This window comes from Homo sapiens, chromosome 7 (assembly GCF_000001405.40).
Source record: "Homo sapiens chromosome 7, GRCh38.p14 Primary Assembly".
Lineage (NCBI taxonomy): Eukaryota > Metazoa > Chordata > Mammalia > Primates > Hominidae > Homo > Homo sapiens.
In genome coordinates, this window is record NC_000007.14 from 95,810,685 (window position 1) to 95,835,035 (window position 24,351).

Here is a 24,351-nt window from a genome sequence, read left to right on the forward strand (position 1 = left end):
TGGGAGGAAAGTTGTAGAATTGTCAGTAGTTTGGGGCTTACTGACTGATTAGATGGTCAACCTTCTCCACCGTGTTACTAGTAGATTATTTTATACTTGTTAAATGAGTTGCCACTTGGTAAATATAAGAAATCTTGGAATGTCTTATTAAATTGTTCCTCATTTTCATTGCTGAGTTCCAGTGTCTCTTTGCCAATCTAAATACTGTGGATCTGGGTTATGAATTTCATAACTACCACAGGCATAGAGTTAGTCTATGATGAAAATAGAAGGCACAGTGAGAATTTGAAGGAAAACAAAATGGTGGCAGATTAGCAGCCGATTAACAAGTTTAAATTAATTTGACTTTATTGTATTTTGATTTGATTACTAATTGGCATTTTCACTACAATACTCCTCCTCTAATTCGTTCATTCCTAGTTGGTTGTCTGTGACCTCATTTTATCACTAAAGCTTGGATATTGAATTATTGGTTTTCTTTGTGTTGAAGGTAACTTGTGCATATTTTGTTTATTCTGTCACTTACCTATGTATCTCTCATGTAATAGTTTTATTTTTCTTTTATCCTTTTGTTTTCCATACATTTAAGATTAATCCTAGGGTGTCTATAAAACTACATTATATCCAATATAGTTAAAAACCCTTTTGGAAGAATACATAAAAATAAATACAGTATTCAGATCTTTTGTTTAGAATACTTTCTTCTGAAGTTAATTCCATAATTTACTTTTATATTAAAATAAATTATCATTTATTTCCATAGTTAGTTAAACTAAGAATATAAATTATCCCATGTAGAACAAAATGGCAAATGTTTATATCAATGTGAATAAGAAAAAGAACAATATATAATAAGCTTAAAAATTATTAAGTATTGCTGGATGTAATTTAATACACACAAAACTAAAACACTATTAAAAATCATTTTATACTCAATCTCAATTTGTAATAGGTAAAAATAGTATGTTCAACAATGCTATAATAAGCCCCAATAAGATTAGATTCTTTGGTTTAATTTCTTCATGTTGTGGAAGATGTAACCTAGGGGACGTTATATTTGACTGATGGACCTTCTTTTCTACTTAGGAGCTGATACACATTTTTTTCTACTTAGTTGACATCTGATATGAGTTAGACACATTGCAATCAATTATATTTGTGCCTCAAAATAGCCTTTGAAATTATGTTGCAATGTGAACACTGGTTAAATACAATAATAGTATGTCCTAGTCTCCCCTACCCTACATAAAGCCAGTAATTAAACTTTAAGAACAAAACAGATTAACATCTCTAAACCATGACCAACTTTTGAAGTATCCTTGCATTACTGCCAACGGACTCTGGCAAGGGCCCTGTTTTCATTTTTCAGCCATCTCTTCGACTTACCCTCTGAGCTTACTCAGAGGGTAAGTAATCAGTGAATTAATTGTGGGACCACATGAAAATTCCTAGCTTCTCGACAGATCTGCCATTGTGTTATAGGATTTGGGTAAAACAGTTAAGCCCTTTACCCTATTAAGTAAATAAAAGGAAATTGCACATGATTGAAACCAAATGGGAATCTACATTTACGTACTGAAATTTCTTTCTATCCATATGGCTTCTCTGGCATATGTGATATTGAGAACCCGTTGAATTGCCTGGCCTGGAGCCATCTTGGCTATTTGGTGCAGCTTCTATCTGAAGGACATTTGGCTTGTATCTGAAGGAAGGGGGAAAAAATTGCATTGGCTTTAGCTTTTTTCTTTTATTATGCCTGCTCTCAGATTTTCAGCTTGTGCCGACCTTGATCTTTGAACTTGTCTCCTGTCTTCAGAGTGGCAGCTTACTTCTGTGCACATGGCAGGGTCTTCTAGAGCTGCTGGAGGCAAGGCAAAACAAGTCCCAAAGACAGTAAACAGTACAATGGGATGCAACTATTAATTAAATGTAAAAATAAAGCAGCCTGGCATTTTTCTTTGTTTTGAAAGAGACTTTTTAATTACCAGTTTCAACATTTACCCTTTCTCTATCTGTCACTTAGGCTCTCATGGCAAACAGCTTATATTCCACAGAGTACATTTCTCTCTCAATGCAGACATACAACAGATTTTTCTGACTGTCCTTGACCATTTAAAATTATTCAGAATCACTTATTTAATAACCTTTTAAAGTTTTATAGACACCTTGTTTTATTTTTAATAGGTCACATCTATACTAACAAAATAATGTGAAGAATCAGAATTATCTGGATGGTTCATGTTAGAGAGATATTTGACTTGAATTATCTGGATAGCTATTTTGATGCTTCATTTTACTTTGTTAGGGTGGACATGGCCTCAGAATCCCTAGGTTAATTCTGTCTAAATCATTTCAAATTTTAATTTCCAAAATACAAAAAATTCACTGGACTTTTTTCCTTTTCTTTCCTTTTTTTTTTTTTTCTTTATCCCATCTCAATGTCTCCTGGCCATACAACCACTTTAATTTGGGCCCATTTGTTTTGATTTGTCTGACACTGCTCTTCACCAGTGCAGCCGCTGCATTTTTTAACATGGGATACCTGTTATTTTCATTATTTAGTCCCAACCCCTATGTCTCCCTCCTCGAAATCAGTGAGCACTCCCAGTGAAGCTGGAAGCCAAGACTCAGGCGATCTGGGGCCATTAACAAGGTAAGAATTGTCCCTTTAAAAGGCCATGATGGGTGTCAATTAAAAAAAAAAAAAAACAGCAACAACACCACTGTTAGAATACTGTGAAATGTGCATGTATCTGCATGTGTACTTGGACATCTTATGTTTAAATTTATGGTGGCTTGCTATTTTTAGTGGAATAGCAATGATCTTGAACACTAGAAATGATCAACATATATCATCCTTCTTTGAGTGGGCTAATTTAGCACCATGTGTCTTGCTTAACAAACACACACATATCCATTAGCTTAGGCTTAAAAAAGGCAGGGAGAAGCCTTTTCATTATTTAGTAGATAATTGAATATATATCCAGCTTCTTATTATCCTACTTTGGTTTTGGTTTCCATGAAAGTCTTTGTGAATAGAATATTGAGATGTTCTAATTCTAAATTTAATTTTTCAAGTGAGTTATTTGCTTAGTAAAGTTGACTAATTTGAAAACTCAGTCACCTAAGTATTTTTATTGTATTATTATTGGTAGTAGTAGTATCAGGATTGGCTGCTTCTGTTTAGTGAGTTCATTGCCAAATTTGTATTACACTATGTAGACTCACAGATTATGTAACTTCTGAAAGTAGATCTAGACATTCTGTAATTTAATCACTGAAGAGGTATCCAAAAGGTAAAGATGTAAAAAGAAGAAAGGAGAAGTTTCATAAATGTAGATGGAGTCATGGTAAATCTCCGAATCCAGCTGTCTTCACCAGTGTTCCCACATGCCGGGGTCCACAGGCAGGAATTTATGTGAGTATGGCAACTGCACCCAATTCTTAAAGGCCAGATGGCCCCCTCATAGCTCAAGCTGGTTGAGCTCACATGATATGATGGACCCAATTTTTCCGCATTTTCCAGTTTTTCTTGAGAAGCTACAAATTCAGATATTCAGGTGATAATCTCCTGAATGTTAAATGTTAATGACTTTTGTTCCAAGTAGTTATGGGCCAGATTTGGCCTGTGGCAATTTATGAACTCTAGCTTTGACTCTTAATTTAAAAAAATCATAAAATGCTTTAATCAAGTTTTAAATAAAAGAAGAAACAACCATCTACAGCACTGCTGTTCTAAGAAGTCAGCCTTTTGGCTTGTCTGTGTACCTTTCCAGTCCTTGTCTGTGTGCATTTCTTGCCTCCGTATGTATTACTGGGGCAAAGATATAAAATTTTGCATTTTTCTCTTTTCACCTAAGGCATTAGCATAAGCATTTTCTTCTGAAAGTGTACTGTTTCCACACAGGCATAGTTAATTTGGTAGCTGAAGATCTGGACATGAAGATAATCTAGCGTTGATCTGAGCTGTAGGGTTTTTTTGCTTTTGAAACCAACATATAAGACTGGAATTATGTTACCTATTTCTGCCTGTTGGTGTCCTTCAGACTTGAATATTTTGTTTTCGTAGGCCCTTTGGAAACCAGTGGACACTGCTTTCAATTAAAAAAAAAGTAGAGGTTTTTGAGGGCATAAAGCTGGTTTATTTTAGCAAATCGCTTTTGTGATTTGGGGCAGCACATGTCTTCTCTCATCTTTTGCTTTGAACACTTCAAAAGGTCTTTGGCAGGAGGAAGTAATAGCAACACAGTTGTGTAAGATCTAACATTTATTCAAGAGCTGGCACAATATAATCACATTTCTTGGGGGGGGTCCATTGGCCTATCATTAAGTTAATGTATTTGACCATTTCTGTACCATGATGGTGCGTGTCATTACTGCTTAGCTTCAAGGGTGCAGTTGGCAGCATTCAATTCTATTACTGACTTCACAGTTGAGGAGCCCTTTGGAAAACTTTCTAAAGAAAGCTGACCTATGCTGTTAGTACTCTGGGGACAACAGCAATTATTTCTTCTCAGAGAATATTACTCTTTATTTCTTTCTCCTTCTTAGGTGATTTTTTTTAACTTTATGAATCACTTTGGAAGAGGTGCAGCTTACTCCTACCCAACACAATAGTAACTTCAATTCTTTATAGGAAAGTTCTTGCAAGACTGAGTAACTAGAAGTCAATTAGTAAACCTCCTGCAAAGTGCAGGTTTCATAGAAATGCAAGAAAATTTGCATTGAAAAATGCTAGTTTTCAGAAAAACTGAGCACAAAGTTTGCTTGAGGAGAACACATTAAGAATGCCTTAGTAAATTCTGCCCTTGTTTTGAACTTAGGAAAATTCCACACAAATTTATGTTTTTTTCTTTAATAAAATAAATATGAAGTTAAATTGCAGGAGAATGTTATATTTCAGTTTTTTTAAATTCCACTTTGAATGTCTTTTTATGTAGAAGACACATCTTTGAAAACAATTTATATTAACTTTAACACTTCATAAAACAGGAGACTGGGAAAAGAGTTCAGTTATTCTTAAGAATATAACTCTATGCTCATAAATTTGCCTGTTTATGTGGAATTTGAACTCTTCAAAAAATGGTAAATCTTTCAGAAGATAACAAGAATTAAATTAACACATCTGGCCGTAGCTAAAGGCACATATAAATTATCTCATTCATTTGCCAAAATTTCAAACCAAAGCTAAAATTTTCTTTAGAAAGCCAAAATTAGCAAACATTTCTTATAATCTTTGTAACTAGTTAATCTGCAAATTGGCCTACTCAATGTACTTTATTATAGAGAAGAAGTAAAAATAGTGCTTTAACAAAAATCCCTCTTATTGATTTTTTTTTTTTTTAATTTTAAAGAGACCGTCTTGCTCCATTGCCCAGGCTGGAGTACAGTGGTGCAATTATAGCTCACTGCAACCTCAAACTCCTGGGCTCAAGCAATCCTCCTGCCTCGGCCTCCTGAGTAGCTGGGACTACAGCCATGCACCACCATGCACAGCTAATTTTTATTTTTACTTTTTGTAGAGATGGAGTCTCACTATGTTGTCCAGGCTGGTCTGGAACTCCTGGCCTTAAGCAATCCTTTTGCCTTGGCCTCCCAAAGTGCTGGGATTATAGGCGTGAGCCACTGCACTCAGCCACCTCTTACTGATTTTTAAGAGCAGTTGAGAAAATTTTAAAAAATGGGTAGAGAGTAGAAATATGTAAGTTTTCAGTTATACTAATGATTTAATTTTTTAAATTTCACTTAAAGTGTTACCATTTGTTTTGCAATTTATGCTTCCATTGTTATATCCCATTTCTCATTTACAACTTATACTTTTGGTTTTATCTTCTTTCTCCTGATCGGTTTTGGTAGAATCAATTAATCATTGCTCAGTTAATTATACTGGCAAGCAACACGCTCTTGGATTTTAAGAGCTTGTTGAAAAGGTTAGTTTGAAGGGTTAGTTTTACTTATAAACATAAATGAAAAATCTTTGATATACTGTATGCAACTGGAATCCAACATATTAAGAGGATACTATGCTATGGTTAATTAGTATTGTTTCAAAAATGCAAGGTTATTTTAGTATAGGAAAATGTCTTACCATATAATTTAGCATACAAAAAGGTCAAAGAAGGAAAAATAATCATTGCAATATGTACTTAAATTATACTTAAGAAATTTAAACACTTATTCCTATATTTTAAAATGTAGCAAACTAGGAATAGAAAATATTTTCTCAATATGGTAAAGAATATTTGTCTGAAACAGCTTACGCTTTTTATACATAAGAGTGAAGCATTAGCACTTTATAGTCCTGAAGAACGGCTTTTGTTTAGTTGAACATGTCTCTCATCCTCAGAAAGTGGTGAATTCCTTGAAAGTAGGGACTAAGTGATACTCATGTGGTAGGTATTTGATAAATGTTTGCTGAGTGAGGTGTGGTAGCTCAGAACTGTAATACCAGCTACTTGGGAGGCTGAGGCAGGAGGATTGTTTGAGGCTAGGAGTTCAAGACCAGCCTGGGCAACATAACATCCAAGATTAAAAAAAAAAAAAAAAGTTTGTAGAATGAACTATATAATTCTGCTTTTTACCAATGAGGACACTGAGATGCGCAGAGAGAATAAGTAATTTTCTCAAGTTCATACAGAGTGTTGTTTTGCTACAGTGCTAGGTTTTTACCTAGGCAGGTTGATTCAAGTTTCCACAATGTATATCTCTATGCTACATAATCTCTAACAGTAGTTGATATGAGTGATACACAACCTACCCCATAAGGTTATTGTGAGGATTATACAAAGTAATGCTCTATAAAGTACTCAGAAAGGAGTCTGGTGTATACTAACTATATGTGAGTTTTAGCAATTATTATAATTTTTTCATATTTTAATTTAGCCATTTTTCCTATGGGAAAAAATCTTTTTAGATCCTCTCATAGAACATGTTGGTGTCATTTTCAATTTTAGTAAGCATTGCCTGTATCTTTATCCACGTAATTACATAAAATTATTAAACATGACAAGGCAAAGGACAGATTGTAATCCATGCCCCTACAGACCACATTCTGGGTTGCCCACTCCTTACTCACTAACCTTCAGATAGCAACCAGAAGTGAATCGATCTAAGTGAAAATCATTCAGCCAACATTTATTCTTCTCATTCACATGGATGGCTCACAAGGGACTTTGCACTAGGACTTTTCTCATGTTTAGTTGTAATTCCTTAGGGTTCGCAATGACAGAGCTGAACTAGAAGGTGTACTGGCCTGCAAAAATATAGGAAAGTGTATTGACTTCATAAAGTTCAGCTGGACACCACAGTGTAGGCTACAACCTGTCCCAAATGGAAGGAAATGTTGAAAATGTTTTCAAAGTTAAAACATCTCTCAACGTGATAACATACTGTGCAATATCCTGTCACAATAATAACACCCATTGCATAACATCCTTAACAAAATAGTCCGAAGGGGAGATTTCTGATGTTTGTCTTTGGTGAGAAGTGTCATGGAGGGTAGTAATAGAATTAATTTTTGTCTTTTTTTTTTTTTTGACCATCTTTGGTCTTAACACCATCATTAAGTTCTACTTTCCAATCAATCAAGACATTTAAGCCCTCCTCCAACATTTTATTTTTTAAATCTTTTTTTTTTTTAAAGACAAAGTCTCTCTGTCACCCAGGCAGCAGTGGTGGCACAATCTTAGCTCAATGAAGCCTCGAATTCCCGGGATCAAGCTATTCTCCCACTTCAGCTTCCTGCATAGCTAGGAGTACAGTTGCATACCACCACACCCAGCTGATTTAATTTTTTTTTTTTTTTTTTTTTGTAGAGACGAAGCATTGCTATATTCCCCAGGCTGGTCTTGAACTTCTGGCCTCAAATGATTCTCCTCCCTCTTCATCCCAAAGTGGTGGGATCCTCCTGCCTCTCCCTCCCAAAGTGCTGAGATTACAGGCAGGACCCATTGTGCCCAGCCTAAAAATCTCTTACTATTATAGAAACAACACCTGTGTATTTTATACAACTAGAAAATATAAATGAGCAAAAATAACAAAATAAAAACATCATGTTTCCACCACCAGAGTAGCACTCTTAGCACCTTAGTGCTTATTCTTTTATATTATATGTATGTCATCATATATAATGATAAATGACATCTTACTGTGAAAACTGTTGAACCTGCTTTTTCAATCAAGTGTATTTTTATATTTCAATGTATTTTCACCTTATCTAGTATCTACACTATCTTCAAATTTCCCCAATTGGCCCCAATAAAATCCTGTAGTATTTAAAACTGATGCCTGTGCTCACAATTAGCAGCATTTCTTAACCCAAAACACTGATATTCGTAGATTGTTCTCTAGGGAGGTGAGGCCCCTCTCAAGGGTACCACAAATGCAGCAGGTGGAGAAATGTCTTCTGAAGCACATCACAGGAGAATGATGATACAAAGGGAATGGATTAAAAGTCTCTTAGGCTTTCAGCTTCATGTGAATTTCAGATTAGAATTCAGGGACAAAGGGACAGATTTCTTCAATGTTCTCTCTTCAGCTTGGATACTGGGCCTCCATATAGTTACTATTCAGTTTCTTATTGACAGAAAGCTTTGGTTAAATTTAGATACTTGTTTTTGGGCTACAATAATTCGTTGTGGGCAACTTGTCCTGTCTGCATGTAGTTACTACTTTTTTTTTAGTGACTTCAGGAAAGAAAAATGTGTTCTGGGGCCACATGGACATAATACTCAAAGGAAATCCTTAGGACCTTCACCTTTATCCACAGTCAGATTCTGCAGGATTCTTTGGAACTATGTAGGCCTCAAAGGACTTGACCCATTTGGGTGAAAGCATCATCATCTTCTAAGATGCTCTGATAAATCAGAGGCTAAAGGGAAGTCATAAAGGAAGTATTAGTAAAGGTGAAAAGTGTAATAAATAATACAAGATTATGGGGGAAATTTAATAAGACTATTAAAATTTTGCTTATACAAAAAAATTTTAAAGTATCATTATATAAAGAGAGATTGACAGGATGCTACCAGCCAATTCGACTTTGGGGAGACTGAAGTCGCTAATTCAAGGTTGGTTAAAAGTCAGTCTCTTTGTAAATTAAAATAAGATTTACACTATAGGGTTTTCTCTTTATGCAGCACAATAAGTTCAAAATTTTTAATATCATTGTCTTCAGGCAAAGTGTGCTCTATGTACCCATATGGTTATAGTAACACAGTAAGCATCTATTTTAGGAAAGGGTAGCTGAGCTTTCTTCTAGAGAAACTGCTTGCTTGACAGCAGGACTTTTGTGTAAGATTTTGGGAAAACATGCTCTTGTTCTATGATGGGAAGTCCTACATTTCTTATTGAATCCAGCTCAGATGGACTTCCCATGTGGCTTAGTGTGGCTCGCTCTGGAGCTCCATATTAGGGCTCAGGTGTTAGCCAACAGATGGAAAATTCTCCCACCATAAATTAAGAAAAATGCTTTTTAAAAAGAGCCTGATATAAGTATGTATTTCACTGTTCCACATTTATTTCTGACATCAGAAAATCTTTATCATCATTGCCAGTCCTAAGTAAGGAAAAAATTGAGGCCAGGAAATAAAACATTAACTCATTATTTGAATACCATCCTTTCTTAATTAACATCACTTTAATGAATGTGACAGATGAGTGATATGATGGATTTTAAAATGTCCTTATTATTTCATGTATTACTTTTGGAAACGGCATTTTAAAAATTAGATATTTAGCGATGGCATTGACTAGATATTTTCTGTTTGGCACTATGCTTACATAATCCCAAACTGTTTGCACTGGCTGATTAATCACTAGTGATTTGTTTGACAGAGAAGACATGTGGAACAAGAGCTCAGAGAAACTGTGCGACTCAGGAAATCTCTGTATTCTGTCCTTGAGCTCTCTCTCCATCTTAGAGAGAAAAGGAAGAACATGAAAATTTGAGTTCCAGTGCAGTTGCTTCAGGGACTAATTAAAGTTACTAAATTCACTTGGTAGAGAAGATGGCTGGACCGCTTTTGTTTTTCACCACAAATCAGCAATATGTTGAGCATTTTAAAAATAATAATATTCATAGAGACAGGGTCTCGCTATGTTACCCAGGCTGGTCTTGAACTCCTGGTCTCAAGTGATCCTCCTGCCTCGGCCTCCCAAAGCTCTGGGATTACCGGCATGGGCCATCATGGCCGGCCAGTGGTCAGCATTTTTATTAGATAAGATATGCTTTCCTTCTTCAGTATGGAAGTGAGTCTGAAAACTCTCCTGCGGCCATGTAGTGACATCACGCTGAGTAAGACTGAGTTTTCCATAAATGCTTTGATGGATATTAAGGGATTTAGGGAGACATGCCCTGATTTATTATTTCATTTTTTAATAAAAACGTAAAAACTGTTTCTTTTGGAATCAACTTGCCCTCACACGTCACACCCATCTACAGAAAAGCCAGGTAAAGAATATTCATTTGTTCATTCATTCATCAAGTCATTCAGTAAACAATTGAGAATTTATTGTCTATCAGATACTATACTAGACTTTCAAGGAATATAAATATTCTTCTTACTTCTAAAGAGCAAGTAAATTGACACATTTAATTTGAATCTAAGGAAATGTTGCTGTGTAGTTACAGCTCTCAAATATGCATACTCAGAGAAGAGCTCAATGGTAATGAGGACTTTGGGGTTATTTTGCAGAAGATATATGGACGTCTGTGTGATTGCCTGGGGTTAGAGTAGAAAGGTGAGGGGAGAAGATAGAATCCTGGTTGGAGAATGCCTGTCTTTATTGGAATGGAAAGAGCAAGGGTACTGCCAAAAACACAGTGAGAGAGGGAGGAAAAGAAATAAGATTTTCAGGGCCAAGAAAACTAAAAGAAAGACTATGCCAAGAAGGAGCCAATAGTGACCAAAATCAGAGACAGCAAAGATAAGGAACAAGAACCGACCATGGGATTTGATGATTTGGAGGTGGTTGTCGTCATCATTATAATCATCATTATCATTTTTTGTTATTATTATTATTATTATTGACGCTGTTTTATTTTCATAGGCTGAGGTCCTGGGAGCAAAACTAGTCCAGGAGTAATTCTATTTTTTATGTTCCTGCCATATATTGGCATATTACTTCCCAAAGAACTTTACTAATTTAAATGCTACCAACAGTGTATGAGACTGCCTTAGCCACATTGAGTGTTAGCATTATAAATGAGAAATTTGTTAACTACTGCCTTCCAAATATTTATTGAACATCTCTTTCTTATAGCCAAAGACTAGAAAAGGTAAGAACAAAAACACTCTTTAGGAAATAATTCTAAGGTTTTCTGCTCTGAGGTCTAATAAGATGGAAAGAAGAATGGAAACCACCAACTTGTTGTTGGTAAAAGCTGAATGGGAAGAAATTGACCACTCATCAGAGTGCAAGGTATATGCAACACAGACATTATGTCTTTCACTCCTAAGTTACACTTTCAACAGATGGCCAAGGATATTTTAAAATTTTCACTTCTTTCTGTCTCATAAACTGAAACTGAGCAAATAAAATTGAGCCAATGAAAGGGGAATTTTATAAGAAATTAAAAAGTAATGAATTGGTACAAGGTTTAAAATATGAAATGAAATTCTGCTTGTCTCTTAGTTGGTTACGGCTAGTTTGAAGAATTTTGATGTTTGCCTATTCTTTTTTAAAAATATTGAAAAACAAATTGACCCACAAATTATAAATTAACTACTACATGGTAGGCATTTTTGTATAAGGTGCCAGAGGCTACAATGTTTTTGATATGTTCAAGGTTAAATAAGTGAGTATTTTCCATGTTGGGAAGCTTCTGTATTTTGAAATGAAGTTAGGAAATGTGACCTTAATTGGCATGTCCAAAACAGCCAATCCAACCCTGGGACCATAGAACCGTAACAGTGCCTGTTGGTCCAGAGTAGGTACAGAATTATTGGGTTACTTAGCTTCTGAACACATAATAGGGCTCCTATGAAACAGAGATCAGAGATCCCACCTAGACAGAACCTCAGAAAGTTAGCCTAAGAAATCAATTGAAACTAATCAGAGCAGCCAAATGCAACTCATAAAAATAAGCAAACAAACAACACCAGGATGGTTCCCCAGCGGGGAATACTGACGGAAATTTAACTGACATAGTTAAAGAAAGATTGTATCAAACAACAAAGGCTAGGTTGGTCATCCCAGGAATTCCAGAAAGGGGAGACTTGGGTAGCAGTGAGGATGATGTCTGGTCTTGGGGAAAGATAAGGTCATGGTGGGGGAGGGCAGGGGAAGCTGTCGTAGTTAAACATTCAGCATCACCTACTCTAGTCCCAAAGATACTGCTGGACATCTGGCTTCCCAGGAAGCTGGGCTTCAAGGAGAGAAGACTTTGTTAGGCTTATATATTTGTCTGCCTGGTTATTATTGTTCTCACAACAAATTGCTAAGTTGGCATCTAAAATATAGCAGTCTTATAAGACCTAGTGGACTACCTCAGCCACCTAAGTCCAATAAACTAAGCACTGAGGAAAATGAATTTAGGCCCAAATCCTATCCCCTCCTCCAAGACCAGGTCAAATGGAATCTCTAATCTTTTCAGTGGAATTGTGTCTCCCTGCTGTGACTTCCAAAGGATGATGAAACTGCAGTCCAATGCCTGGCTGGCTGGCACGGAGCAAACACTAAGTGAAGGGAAATTATAACAATCACCATTCTTAATCTGTCTTTCCTATGGCATTTATTAATATTTTCAGCTCATATTTATTCAAACTTTAAACTGTGCCAGTCTCTGAGCAAGTGATGAGAGCTACTTTCTTCCTTGTAGATGTTATCGGTATATTATTAGGCATAAATATTCATATGTCTCATTTCTTTTACCAAAATGGAAAAGTCTTAAGTGCAAGTTCCATGTCCCTCAGCATACATGTGGTACTGCCGGGTAGGGGAAGCTGTCATAGTTAAACATTCAGCATCACCTACTCTAGTCCCAAAGATACTGCTGGACATCTGGCTTCCCAGGAAGCGGGGCTTCAAGGAGAGAAGACTTTGTCAGGTTTACATATTTGTCTGCCTGGTTATTATTGTTCTCACAACAAATTGTTAAGTTGGCATCTAAAATATAACAGTCTTATAAGACCTAGTGGACTAACTCAGCCACCTAAGTCCAATAAACTAAGCACTGCGGAAAATGAATTTAGGCCCAAATCCTACCCCTCCTCCAAGACCAGGTCAAATGGAATATGGCAAGTTTTACTTTCAGATTTGTTCTACTAAACTATATATATATATATATATATATATATGTTTTGGTTTTTTGTTTTTTTTTTTTTTTTTGAGGCAGGGTCTTACTGTCACCCAGGCTGGAGTGCAGTGGCATGATCTCAGCTCACTGCAACCTCCACTTCCCAGGCTCAAGCTGTCCTCCCACCTCAGCCTCCTGAGTAGCTGCGACCACAGGCGAGCACCACCATACCCGGCTAATTTCTGTATTTTTTTGTAGATGCAGAGTTTCGTCGTGTCGCCCAGGCTGGTCTTGGAACCCGTGGGCTTCAGCAATCTGCCTGCCTTGGCCTTCCAAAGTGCTGGGCTTACAGGCATGAGTTACCGTGCCAGGCCTATTGGTATAGGTTTTATCTCCTCATAAGAGCTGTAGGTTCCTTGAACATTTTTTCAACCCTCTGTTACAGTATTTTGTATTTTAGGTTCTTAATAGATGGTTTTTGAATAAGTAAATGAATGTTCTTATCAAAATCTTCTCTCCTCTGCATGCATTGATTGAGCCATGCCAGAAATGACTAAAAAATAGAACTAATTATTATAGTAAACAGGGTGATTTCTATATCACCATCATTTTATTTTCAGAGATACAATTACTTGGTAAAATGGCTGGAAAATAAGATCTCTGCCCATTGGTTAAATAAATTATTCTAACTGGAGAAGAGAAAGCTAAAAGGCAGTTGAATAATCATCCTAGATTTTAAAATATCAGGCAGAGAAGAATGTTAAAGGGCCTTAAGGCCTGCACCCTCATTTGCTGGGAACAAAAGGAGATTTGCCTGATGACACACTGAAGCCATATCCAGGACACAGACCTGCAACCCGGGGCCAGGAGTGCTCCTCTCTAAGATACTGCCATCTGCGGGGAAGCTGTCCTGCACGGTTTACACAGAAGGAATTCGGCGAATGTTTAATACATATTTCTAGGCTATCCCTGGAAACACAAACAACTTTTGCCCATTTTGCATATTGGCTTTAAGTTCCTTTCAAAAAATTTGCATATTTGCATATTCCTTGAAGGGAACCACCCCACAGATAATAATGGGAAAAATGAAAAGATAATACAACTGGCACATTTGATAGCATCCTTGGCTTCACCCCTTAGCCCACAGCTTGTTACTGACAATAACTATGGTTTCTGTTACTGAATAACATAGGTGTGCCAGGAGGCAAGGCTGTTGTGGTGTTACATTCCTACCTTGGTTTTTCTGGCCGAGTAAATGCAAACTCCCCAGTACTAATCTGTGGACTTTTTAAGTGGATGATTTGATAGAATCACTATTTATACTTCTTAAGGGTATAGTGAGTTCAGGTGATCTGTCCAATAAGTATCAGAAGAGCCAGACCATCGGGGAGCTGCTGGGAGAAGTGGAAAAGGTCACTAAAAATCAGCCCATCAGAAACCTCAAGGAAAATGGAGGTCAAATAGTTGATCCTACTCCTTGCAAGGAAAGCTTCTTACAATCAGCAAGAGCCAGAGTCTGCTCTTTTGTCTACAGCAGAAGAAATGATCTTAAATTTGACCCCCAGAGATATGTGAACAGCAAATATGAATTACGTTAACATATTCCATTACTTTCACAATTTGAACTGAGATTAAAGAATCAGTGCCCAGAAGCAAGAAGGGCTAATTTTCTTCAGCAGAGAATGAATTCAGAGCAGGGGTTCTCACCCCTGGCTGCACATTAGAATCACCTGGAAAGCTTTAAAAAACTACAGATGCCTGGGTCCCACCCCAGACATTCTGGCTTAATTGGTCTAGGGGTGGCCTGGATCTGATGCCAGGCTTGAGCAAATCAGAAGTTTAGATGCTAATGTATTTGAGCTTCAGTGATGCTTTCTGCATGCTGACTACTGAAAGCAATAGTCTAGCTCTGTCATTCTCCAAAGGTGGTCCCATGATTAACCTTGTAAACATCACCTGGAAACTTGTTAGAACTACAAATTCTAGGGCCCCACTCCAGATTTACTGATCTACTGATCAGAATTTCTAGGGTTGGGGATCAGCTTATTAAAGCTCTCCAGGTCATTCTGATGAACATGAAAGCTTGAGAACCACTTATGTAAGTCAAGTCATTGCTGCTCAAAGTGTGTTCCACAGAGCAGCAGCATCTGTATGTCCTGGAGCGTGTTTGAAATGCAGAGTCTCGGGCCACCCGCACACCTACTAAGTCAGACTGCATTTTAGCAATATTCCCGGGTATCTGTATGTGTATTAAAATTTGAGAAGCACTGGTCTAAGAAACACTCGCCAGTTAGTGTCTCATTGGACTTCAGTTTTAATCTTTCAGAGGTTCTATGTAAAAAGACAAGAGCACAGCCAGAGCATAGAAGGGAAGCTGTGAATCTGTATTCCGCTACTTCTGCAGGAGGGGTTAATATGTGATCTGTCAAATAGGTCGGGCATTGACTCAAAGAAACATTAAGAGTAGATAGAGTGATTGTGGCAGTAGTAAAAGCAGCTGCTGCTTATCATATGGTTGCCATGTGCTTTATAGGTATACCTGCATTTAATCCTTGTAGAAAACCAGCAAAATATTCATTCATTCAACAAATATCGTATTATATAAGCACATATGCGCGATACAGTTCTAGGCATATCCCTATATTCTAGAGATGTAGCCACCCCTGCCATTATGAAGCTTAACTCCAAAGTCAGACAACAAACAAAAATAAATAAGCTGATATACAAGAAAATCATAGGTAAAGATGAGTGCTATGAAGGAAATAAAGCAGGGGAAAGGAAGGAAATGAAGAGTGATAAGGAAGTGCTACCTGAGATCAGGTGGTGAAGCAGGGGAGCCTCTTTGAGGAGGTAACATTTAAGCCAAGACACAAAAGAAGCAAAGTCATGAGCCATGCAGATGTTTAAAGGAAGAACATTAAGGAGTATGCAGAGTTGACATGTGAGTGAATGAATGGTTAGAGAGAAGTTTGGAAGATCACTGCAGGCCAGTTCATAAGTTACCATATAAGCTACAGTAAGTATTTATAGACAAGGAAACCGAGCAGGGCTTCTCAAATTAAGGGTGCCCATGGATCACCTGGGGAACTTGTTAAACTGTAATATGGAGTCACTAAGTCTGGGGTGGGACGTGAGTTTCTGCATTTCCAACAAACTCCCAAGAGATGTTGATGCTACTGCTCTGTAGGCCACAGAGTAAACAAAGGGATGCAGGGGCTGAGAACTTATTAAACAGCACGCTCAATGTCACACAGCTGGTAAGTCACAGAGGTAAGATTTGAATCACAGATGCCTGATCCTAAAGTTTGTGCTGTCCATTAGTTGCCTCTGAGATAACCTCATGCCTGATTCACCTGTAACCGGTACTGTGCAGGATATTTAAAGAGCCTGGCTGAGAAAAGTCCTGGCATGTGCTCTGTTTATAGAAGAGCCATTTATCCCCTCTTATTTAGAAGGAGAAATAACAAGGGAAATTGGATGCTTTGGTAACTATTGATACTTTGTGCCATTGCTTATGCAATGTTTAAAAAATATAAGATATAATCAATCCCTGACATCTTAGACAGAAATGATATTGTTGGTGACCATCTTGGTGTACAATATATAAATAAGCATAAAATACTCATGAGTCTTGAAATCTAATGCATTATATTTGTAGTACCTGATCCAAGGAAGGCAGTTATTCACCAGGCCCTGCAGTCATACCCCTGCCCTTACCCATTTGCACCCTTGCGTTTAGTTCTTTTCACCACATAGAAGATGCTTGGAGTTCCCAGATGTGGGTGGGCTCTGGGGTGTCAGAGATACATGCAGTGGTTTACTTGCCCAAATCAATGAGGCTTCAATACAAAACAAAACAAAGGGTAGGGGTGTGTGTGGAGTTTGAACACTTGGTCTCAACTTTCTTTCATGAAAGCAGCCATAGCTCCCGATATTAAACAGATGTTTGCAGGAAAGGATGGCTCCTCGATTTCTCTTGTTTGATAGTCACTGGGGGTGGAGGGGATGGAAGGGGGACATGTTCTGTGTATGTATTGTATATGCTCTTGCCTTGATGAATGACATAGTTTGGTTTGGTTTGTTGCCCTCCCCTTTTGTTAATTCTCTGTGTTCTTTTTCCTTTGTGCTGCACAATTAGGACCCTGCAGTGGGACACAGACCCCTCAGTGCTCCAGCTGCAGTCAGACTCAGAACTTGGGTATATGTCTGCTCTTTTGTTACTCCTTTTATTATTTCTTTGCTACAGTTGTGTTGAAATGCTGGAGCTGTTGTTGCTCTTGTGTTCTCCCCTTTTGTTGAACTTCCAGTTTGATAAGTTCGTTTCCTTCTGTTGATTTTCCTTATAAAGCTTTGAAGAAAGTCTCTCTTTGTGGAAAACACCACAAAAAGATGGCTTTTGATTTCTCCTTATTAATTCCTATTATTGCAAAACAACACTCCCCCAAACAAAAATCAAACATAAACCCACACATCTAATTAAAAGTGGGGCACACAAGTTCTGCAGCGGGAGATATGTTTGGCTTTATCATCACCATCCTCCCCTTTACTAACAAGTTGCCTTAAGTTAACTTTGGTCTAAGATCAGTATGAAAATATTGGGTCTTGTTTCTTTACTTTTCTTTTCAGTTTTTGGGGAACTCACAATAAGCACTTAATTTGAATTAAGTTTGAACAGTTAAAGATTCCTGTTTAAAAAAAACCAAGGAAATTAATTGAATACCTTGATCTAAAGATATTTCAAATACTAGATGTTGAGTAATGTCTCCTATGTCCTAAATATCATCTTTTTCAGATGTAAATGTATTATCACAAGTTAAAAGAAAACCTCAGAGATGAAGACTTGGAGTGGAATAAAACACACAGACATATCCTAGAAACTCAATTTATTTCCGTTGTAGGATTGGAGTTAGCTGTAGTCACACAGGAGATATTACTGGTGGGGTGTTTGTATCAGCTGGTCATCAAGCTCAGGAGAGCTGATTGCGCATTTCTCTTCTCAACTTCACATTAAGTTAAATCAGCTGGAAATCAGCCACGGTGGAAGTATTTACACCACAGAAATTGCCTCCTTTCCTACAAGCAATTTATTAAGCATTTACCGACAGAGCACTGGATATCTCTAAGTGAACAGCAAGTTTCATAACCACATTTTATGGAACCATTATCTTTTCTTTCTAAATATAAACCAACATATCCCAAACCAGGCATTTATTTACTTATTATTCATTTTGAATTCCTGAGATTCCTGGGCATATATCTCTGAGGTTCTGTCAGTTTCAATGCCTACTGTAGGTATAAAAGGAGGTTGAAGGGCTATTTGCATGTTAGGTTAAATGCCATCTGCCTGTGACCCTTTGCATATGCAAAAATTCTTAGCTGATTCATGACAATACTAAGCCAAGGAAATATCCTAACATTTAGGTAACCGATGCACTATTTCTTTTTTAACCTTACTAAATTCTTGGCTATTTAGTTATATAGTTCATTTATGTTATATTTCAATTTGTATTATTTAAATAACCAAGAGATATGGCTTAAATAAAGCAGAGAATGTATGGTAAGTTATAGTTCAGGGGAACTTCAGAATGCAGTTCTTCAAAATTATATTGTGTTAAAAAAACAGGCAGGGGAAAGAACTGGCAGAGACTACCCCATGCACTTAAATTAACAGATTTTTAGACAGATTGCAGCAGTGCTAAATTACACTTGCTGATGTGGAATAGTTTGGAATTTTCCCATTTATATCTGTTTTCCAAGCAAAAACTCATGTTGACTATGCAGATTAAAATTTGTGACTTATTCTAGGGATATAGCATATCTGTGGACCCACCTTACCTGCTGCATTATACTTGAGAGTGAACCCAGTGTGTTGGAGAGAGAAGATGGAGACTTTCTGTTCACTTTCTAAATACAAACCGATATACCCCAAACTAGGCATTTATTTATTTATTATTCATTTTGAATTCCTGAGATTCCTGGGCATACATCTCTGAGGTTCTATCAATTTCAATGCCCACTGTAGGTATAAAAGGAGGTTGAAGGACTATTTGCATTTTAGGTTAAATGCCATCTGCCTGTGAGTGAGTGGCTTATCTTAGAGAGTTTGAAGGCATTTTCAGAGAATTTTTGAGAGATGACATTATTTTAGCCATTTTACAATTTCAAATATTGCCTTAATGAAAATTTCTAGATTTTTCTAGAGAGTTTTATTTCACCTTCTTGAGCTGTGGCATGGGAATGATCATAGTCCATAGCTTCCTTTGTCACTTAATTTAACACCTTTACTGAAGTATAACTGGCTTTAAATAAACTACACATATTAAAACTATTCAAATTGATGATTTTTGACATGTATGCACATCCATGAAATTATTACCACAATCAAGATAGTGAACACATTAATCATCCCCAGAGTTTCCTCATGCCCCTTTGTTATCTACACTCTTGCTTCTTCCTGTTCTTCCCTATCCCCCAAACATCTGATCTGCTTTCTATCACTATACCTTAGTTTGCCTTTCCTAGATTGTCATATAAATGAAATCATCCAGGAGGTACTCCTTTGACTGACTTCCTTCATTCAGAAGGATTATTTTGAGATTCATTCAGGTTAAGTTTATATAAACAGCTCTATCCTTTTTATTTCATTGTATGGATATACCACAGTTTGTTTATCCAGTCACTTTTTATATACATTGGGTTGTTTACAATTTTTGCCCATTACAAATAGAACTGCTATAAACATTCATGTACAAATATTTTAATGCACATATGCTTTCATTTCTTTTGGGCAAATACCTCCCAGTAGAGGTATTTATGGTTGAATCATATAGTAGATACACATTTAACTTTTTAAGAAATTGTCAAACTGTTTTCAAAATGGTTTTACCATTATGCATTCCCACGAGCAGTTTATGAGAGCCTCGATTTTTCCACATTCTTGACAACGCTTAGTTTGAGCTTCTTAAAAGAAATTATTAATTTGTTAACTATTATTAAAGAAGTATAGTGGTATTTCATTGTGGTTTTAATTTGCATTTCCCTAATGACTAATAATGTTGAATATCTCTTTAGTTGCTTATTTGCCATATGAGTATCCTCTCTGATGAAATGTCTGCTTAAATCTGTTAGTCTTATATATTGTTTTTGAGTTGGGTTATTTTCTCATAATTGATTTTGAAAGTTCTTCGTATGTTCTGGATAAAATGCTTTATGGGGTATATAATTTATTAATATTTTCTCTCAGTCTATGACCTGTCATTTTCATTTTCTTAACAGTGTCTTTAAGAAAGCAAACCATTTTAATTTTGACTAATTACAGTTTACAAATTTGTTCTTTTATGGATCATGCTTTTGTTAACATAATGTTGATTTTTAAGCAATTATTTTAATATTTGGTAGAACACAATTCACCTATGAAATCATTTGGGTTTGGAATAATATTGTGGAGGAGATTTTTTGCTTTGTTTTATTTTGAGACAGAGTCTCACTCTGTCACCTAGGCTGGAGTGCAGTGGTGTGATCTTGGCTCACTGCAACCTCTGCCTCCCAGGCCAGAGACAGATATCTCTTTGAGATACTAATTTTATTTCCTTTAGATATATATGTCCAGAAAAGGGACTGTTAGATAATATGTAGCTCTAGTTTTAATAATTTGAGGAACTTCAATATTATTTTCCATAATGGCAATGCCAATTTACAATCTTACCAACAGTGTACTAGGTTGTTTCCTCAATATCCCTTCCAATACTTCTTATTTTTTATTTTTAATAATAGTGATCCTGATTGCATCTCATTATAGTTTTGATTTGCATGTCTCTGATAATTAGTGATGTTGAACACTTTTTCATATACATATTGGTCATCTTATGTCTTCTTTGGAGATAAGTCTATTTAGGGCCTCTGTGCATTTTTAAATCAGGTAATTTGTAATTTTGCTATTGAGTTGTTTCAGTTCTTTATATATTTTGGATATTAACCCCTTATCAGTAATATGGATTAAAATATTATCTCCCATTCTATACATTGCCTTATCATTGTATTGGTTGTTTTCTTTTTTTTTATTATTATACTTTAAGTTTTAGCATACATGTGCACATTGTGCAGGTTAGTTACATATGTATACATGTGCCATGCTGGTGCGCTGCACCCACTAACTCGTCATATAGCATTAGGTATATCTCCCAATGCTATCCCTCCCCCCTCCCCCCACCCCACAACAGTCCCCAGAGTGTGATGTTCCCCTTCCTGTGTCCATGTGTTCTCATTGTTCAATTCCCACCTATGAGTGAGAATATGTGGTGTTCGGTTTTTTGTTCTTGTGATAGTTTACTGAGAATGATGATTTCCAATTTCATCCATGTCCCTACAAAGGACATGAACTCATCATTTTTTATGGCTGCATAGTATTCCATGGTGTATATGTGCCACATTTTCTTAATCCAGTCTAACATTGTTGAACATTTGGGTTGGTTCCAAGTCTTTGCTATTGTGAATAGTGCCGCAATAAACATACGTGTGCATGTGTCTTTATAGCAGCATGATTTATAGTCCTTTGGATATATACCCAGTAATGGGATGGCTGGGTCAAATGGTATTTCTAGTTCTAGATCCCTGAGGAATTGCCACACTGACTTCCACAATGGTTGAACTAGTTTACAGTCCCACCAACAGTGTAAAAGTATTCCTATTTCTCCACATCCTCTCCAGCACCTGTTATTTCCTGACTTTTTAATGATTGCCATTCTAACTGGTGTGAGATGGTATCTCATTGTGGTTTTGATTTGCATTTCTCTGATGGCCAGTGATGATGAGCATTTTTTCATGTGTTTTTTGGCTGCATAAATGTCTTCTTTTGAGAAGTGTCTGTTCATGTCCTTTGCCCACTTTTTGATGGGATTGTTTGTTTTTTTCTTGTACATTTGTTTGAGTTTATCGTAGATTCTGGATATTAGCCCTTTGTCAGATGAGTGGGTCGTGAAAATTTTCTCCCATTTTGTAGGTTGCCTGTTCACTGTGATGGTAGTTTATTTTGCTGTGCAGAAGCTCTTTAGTTTAATTAGATCCCATTTGTCAATTTTGGCTTTTGTTGCCATTGCTTTTGGTGTTTTAGACATGAAGTCCTAGCCCATGCCTATGTCCTGAATGGTATTGCCTAGGTTTTCTTCTAGGGTTTTTATGGTTTTAGGTCTAATGTTTAAGTCTTTAATCCATCTTGAATTGATTTTTGTATAAGGTGTAAGGAAGGGATCCAGTTTCAGCTTTCTACATATGGCTAGCCAGTTTTCCCAGCACCATTTATTAAATAGGGAATCCTTTCCCCATTGCTTGTTTTTCTCAGGTTTGTCAAAGATCAGATAGTTGTAGATATGCGGCATTATTTCTGAGGGCTCTGTTCTGTTCCATTGATCTATATCTCTGTTTTGGTGCCAGTACCATGCTGTTTTGGTTACTGTAGCCTTGTAGTATAGTTTGAAGTCAGGTAGTGTGATGCCTCCAGCTTTGTTCTTTTGGCTTAGGATTGACTTGGTGATGGGGGCTCTTTTTTGGTTCCATATGAACTTTAAAGTAGTTTTTTCCAATTCTGTGAAGAAAGTCATTGGTAGCTTGATGGGGATGGCATTGAATCTGTAAATTACCTTGGGCAGTATGGCCATTTTCACGATATTGATTCTTCCTACCCATGAGCATGGAATGTTCTTCCATTTGTTTGTATCCTCTTTTATTTCATTGAGCAGTGGTTTGTAGTTCTCCTTGAAGAGGTCCCTCACGTCCCTTGTAAGTTGGATTCCTAGGTATTTTATTCTCTTTGAAGCAATTGTGAATGGGAGTTCACTCATGATTTGGCTCTCTGTTTGTCTGTTGTTGGTGTATAAGAATGCTTGTGATTTTTGTACATTGATTTTGTATCCTGAGACTTTGCTGAAGTTGCTTCTCAGCTTAAGGAGATTTTGGGCTGAGACAATGGGGTTTTCTAGATATACAATCATGTTGTCTGCAAAGAGGGACAATTTGACTTCCTCTTTTCCTAATTGAATACCCTTTATTTCCTTGTCCTGCCTAATTGCCCTGGCCAGAACTTCCAACACTATGTTGAATAGGAGTGGTGAGAGAGGGCATCCCTGTCTTGTGCCAGTTTTCAAAGGGAATGCTTCCAGTTTTTGCCCATTCAGTATGATATTGGCTGTGGGTTTGTCATAGATAGCTCTTATTATTTTGAAATACGTCCCATCAATACCTAATTTATTGAGAGTTTTTAGCATGAAGGGTTGTTGAATTTTGTCAAAGGCCTTTTCTGCATCTATTGAGATAATCATGTGGTTTTTGTCTTTGGCTCTGTTTATATGCTGGATTACATTTATTGATTTGCATATATTGAACCAGCCTTGCATCCCAGGGATGAAGCCCACTTGATCATGGTGGATAAGCTTTTTGATGTGCTGCTGGATTCGTTTTGCCAGTATTTTATTGAGGATTTTTGCATCAATGTTCATCAAGGATATTGGTCTAAAATTCTCTTTTTTGTTTGTGTCTCTGCCCGGCTTTGGTATCAGAATGATGCTGGCCTCATAAAATGAGTTAGGGAGGATTCCCTCTTTTTCTATTGATTGGAATAGTTTCAGAAGGAATGGTACCAGTTCCTCCTTGTACCTCTGGTAGAATTGGGCTGTGAATCCATCTGGTCCTGGACTCTTTTTGGTTGGTAAGCTATTGATTATTGCCACAATTTCAGATCCTGTTATTGGTCTATTCAGAGATTCAACTTCTTCCTGGTTTAGTCTTGGGAGAGTGTATGTGTCGAGGAATTTATCCATTTCTTCTAGATTTTCTAGTTTATTTGCGTAGAGGTGTTTGTAGTATTCTCTGATGGTAGTTTGTATTTCTGTGGGATCGGTGGTGATATCCCCTTTATCATTTTTTATTGTGTCTATTTGATTCTTCTCTCTTTTTTTCTTTATTAGTCTTGCTAGCAGTCTATGTATTTTGTTGATCCTTTCAAAAAGCCAGCTCCTGGATTCATTAATTTTTTGAAGGGTTTTTTGTGTCTCTATTTCCTTCAGTTCTGCTCTGATTTTAGTTATTTCTTGCCTTCTGCTAGCTTTTGAATGTGTTTGCTCTTG

The 24,351-nt window shown here is 36.8% G+C and overlaps 1 protein-coding gene across 5 annotated transcripts in view; it reads left to right on the top strand.

Annotated features, from left to right (window-relative positions):
- The window catches only part of DYNC1I1 (dynein cytoplasmic 1 intermediate chain 1), a 337,769-nt gene that overhangs the window by 38,131 nt on the left and 275,287 nt on the right, over window positions 1-24,351 (top strand). For 2 of the 5 annotated variants that reach the window (NM_001278422.2, NM_001135557.2), the window contains exon 4: window positions 2,563-2,653. In NM_001278422.2, the coding sequence (NP_001265351.1) occupies window positions 2,563-2,653 (91 nt within the window). Of the gene's footprint in view, window positions 1-2,511; window positions 2,654-17,372; window positions 17,433-24,351 lie in introns of all 5 variants that reach the window. The other 3 variants (NM_004411.5, NM_001135556.2, NM_001278421.2) reach the window with 3 other exon arrangements.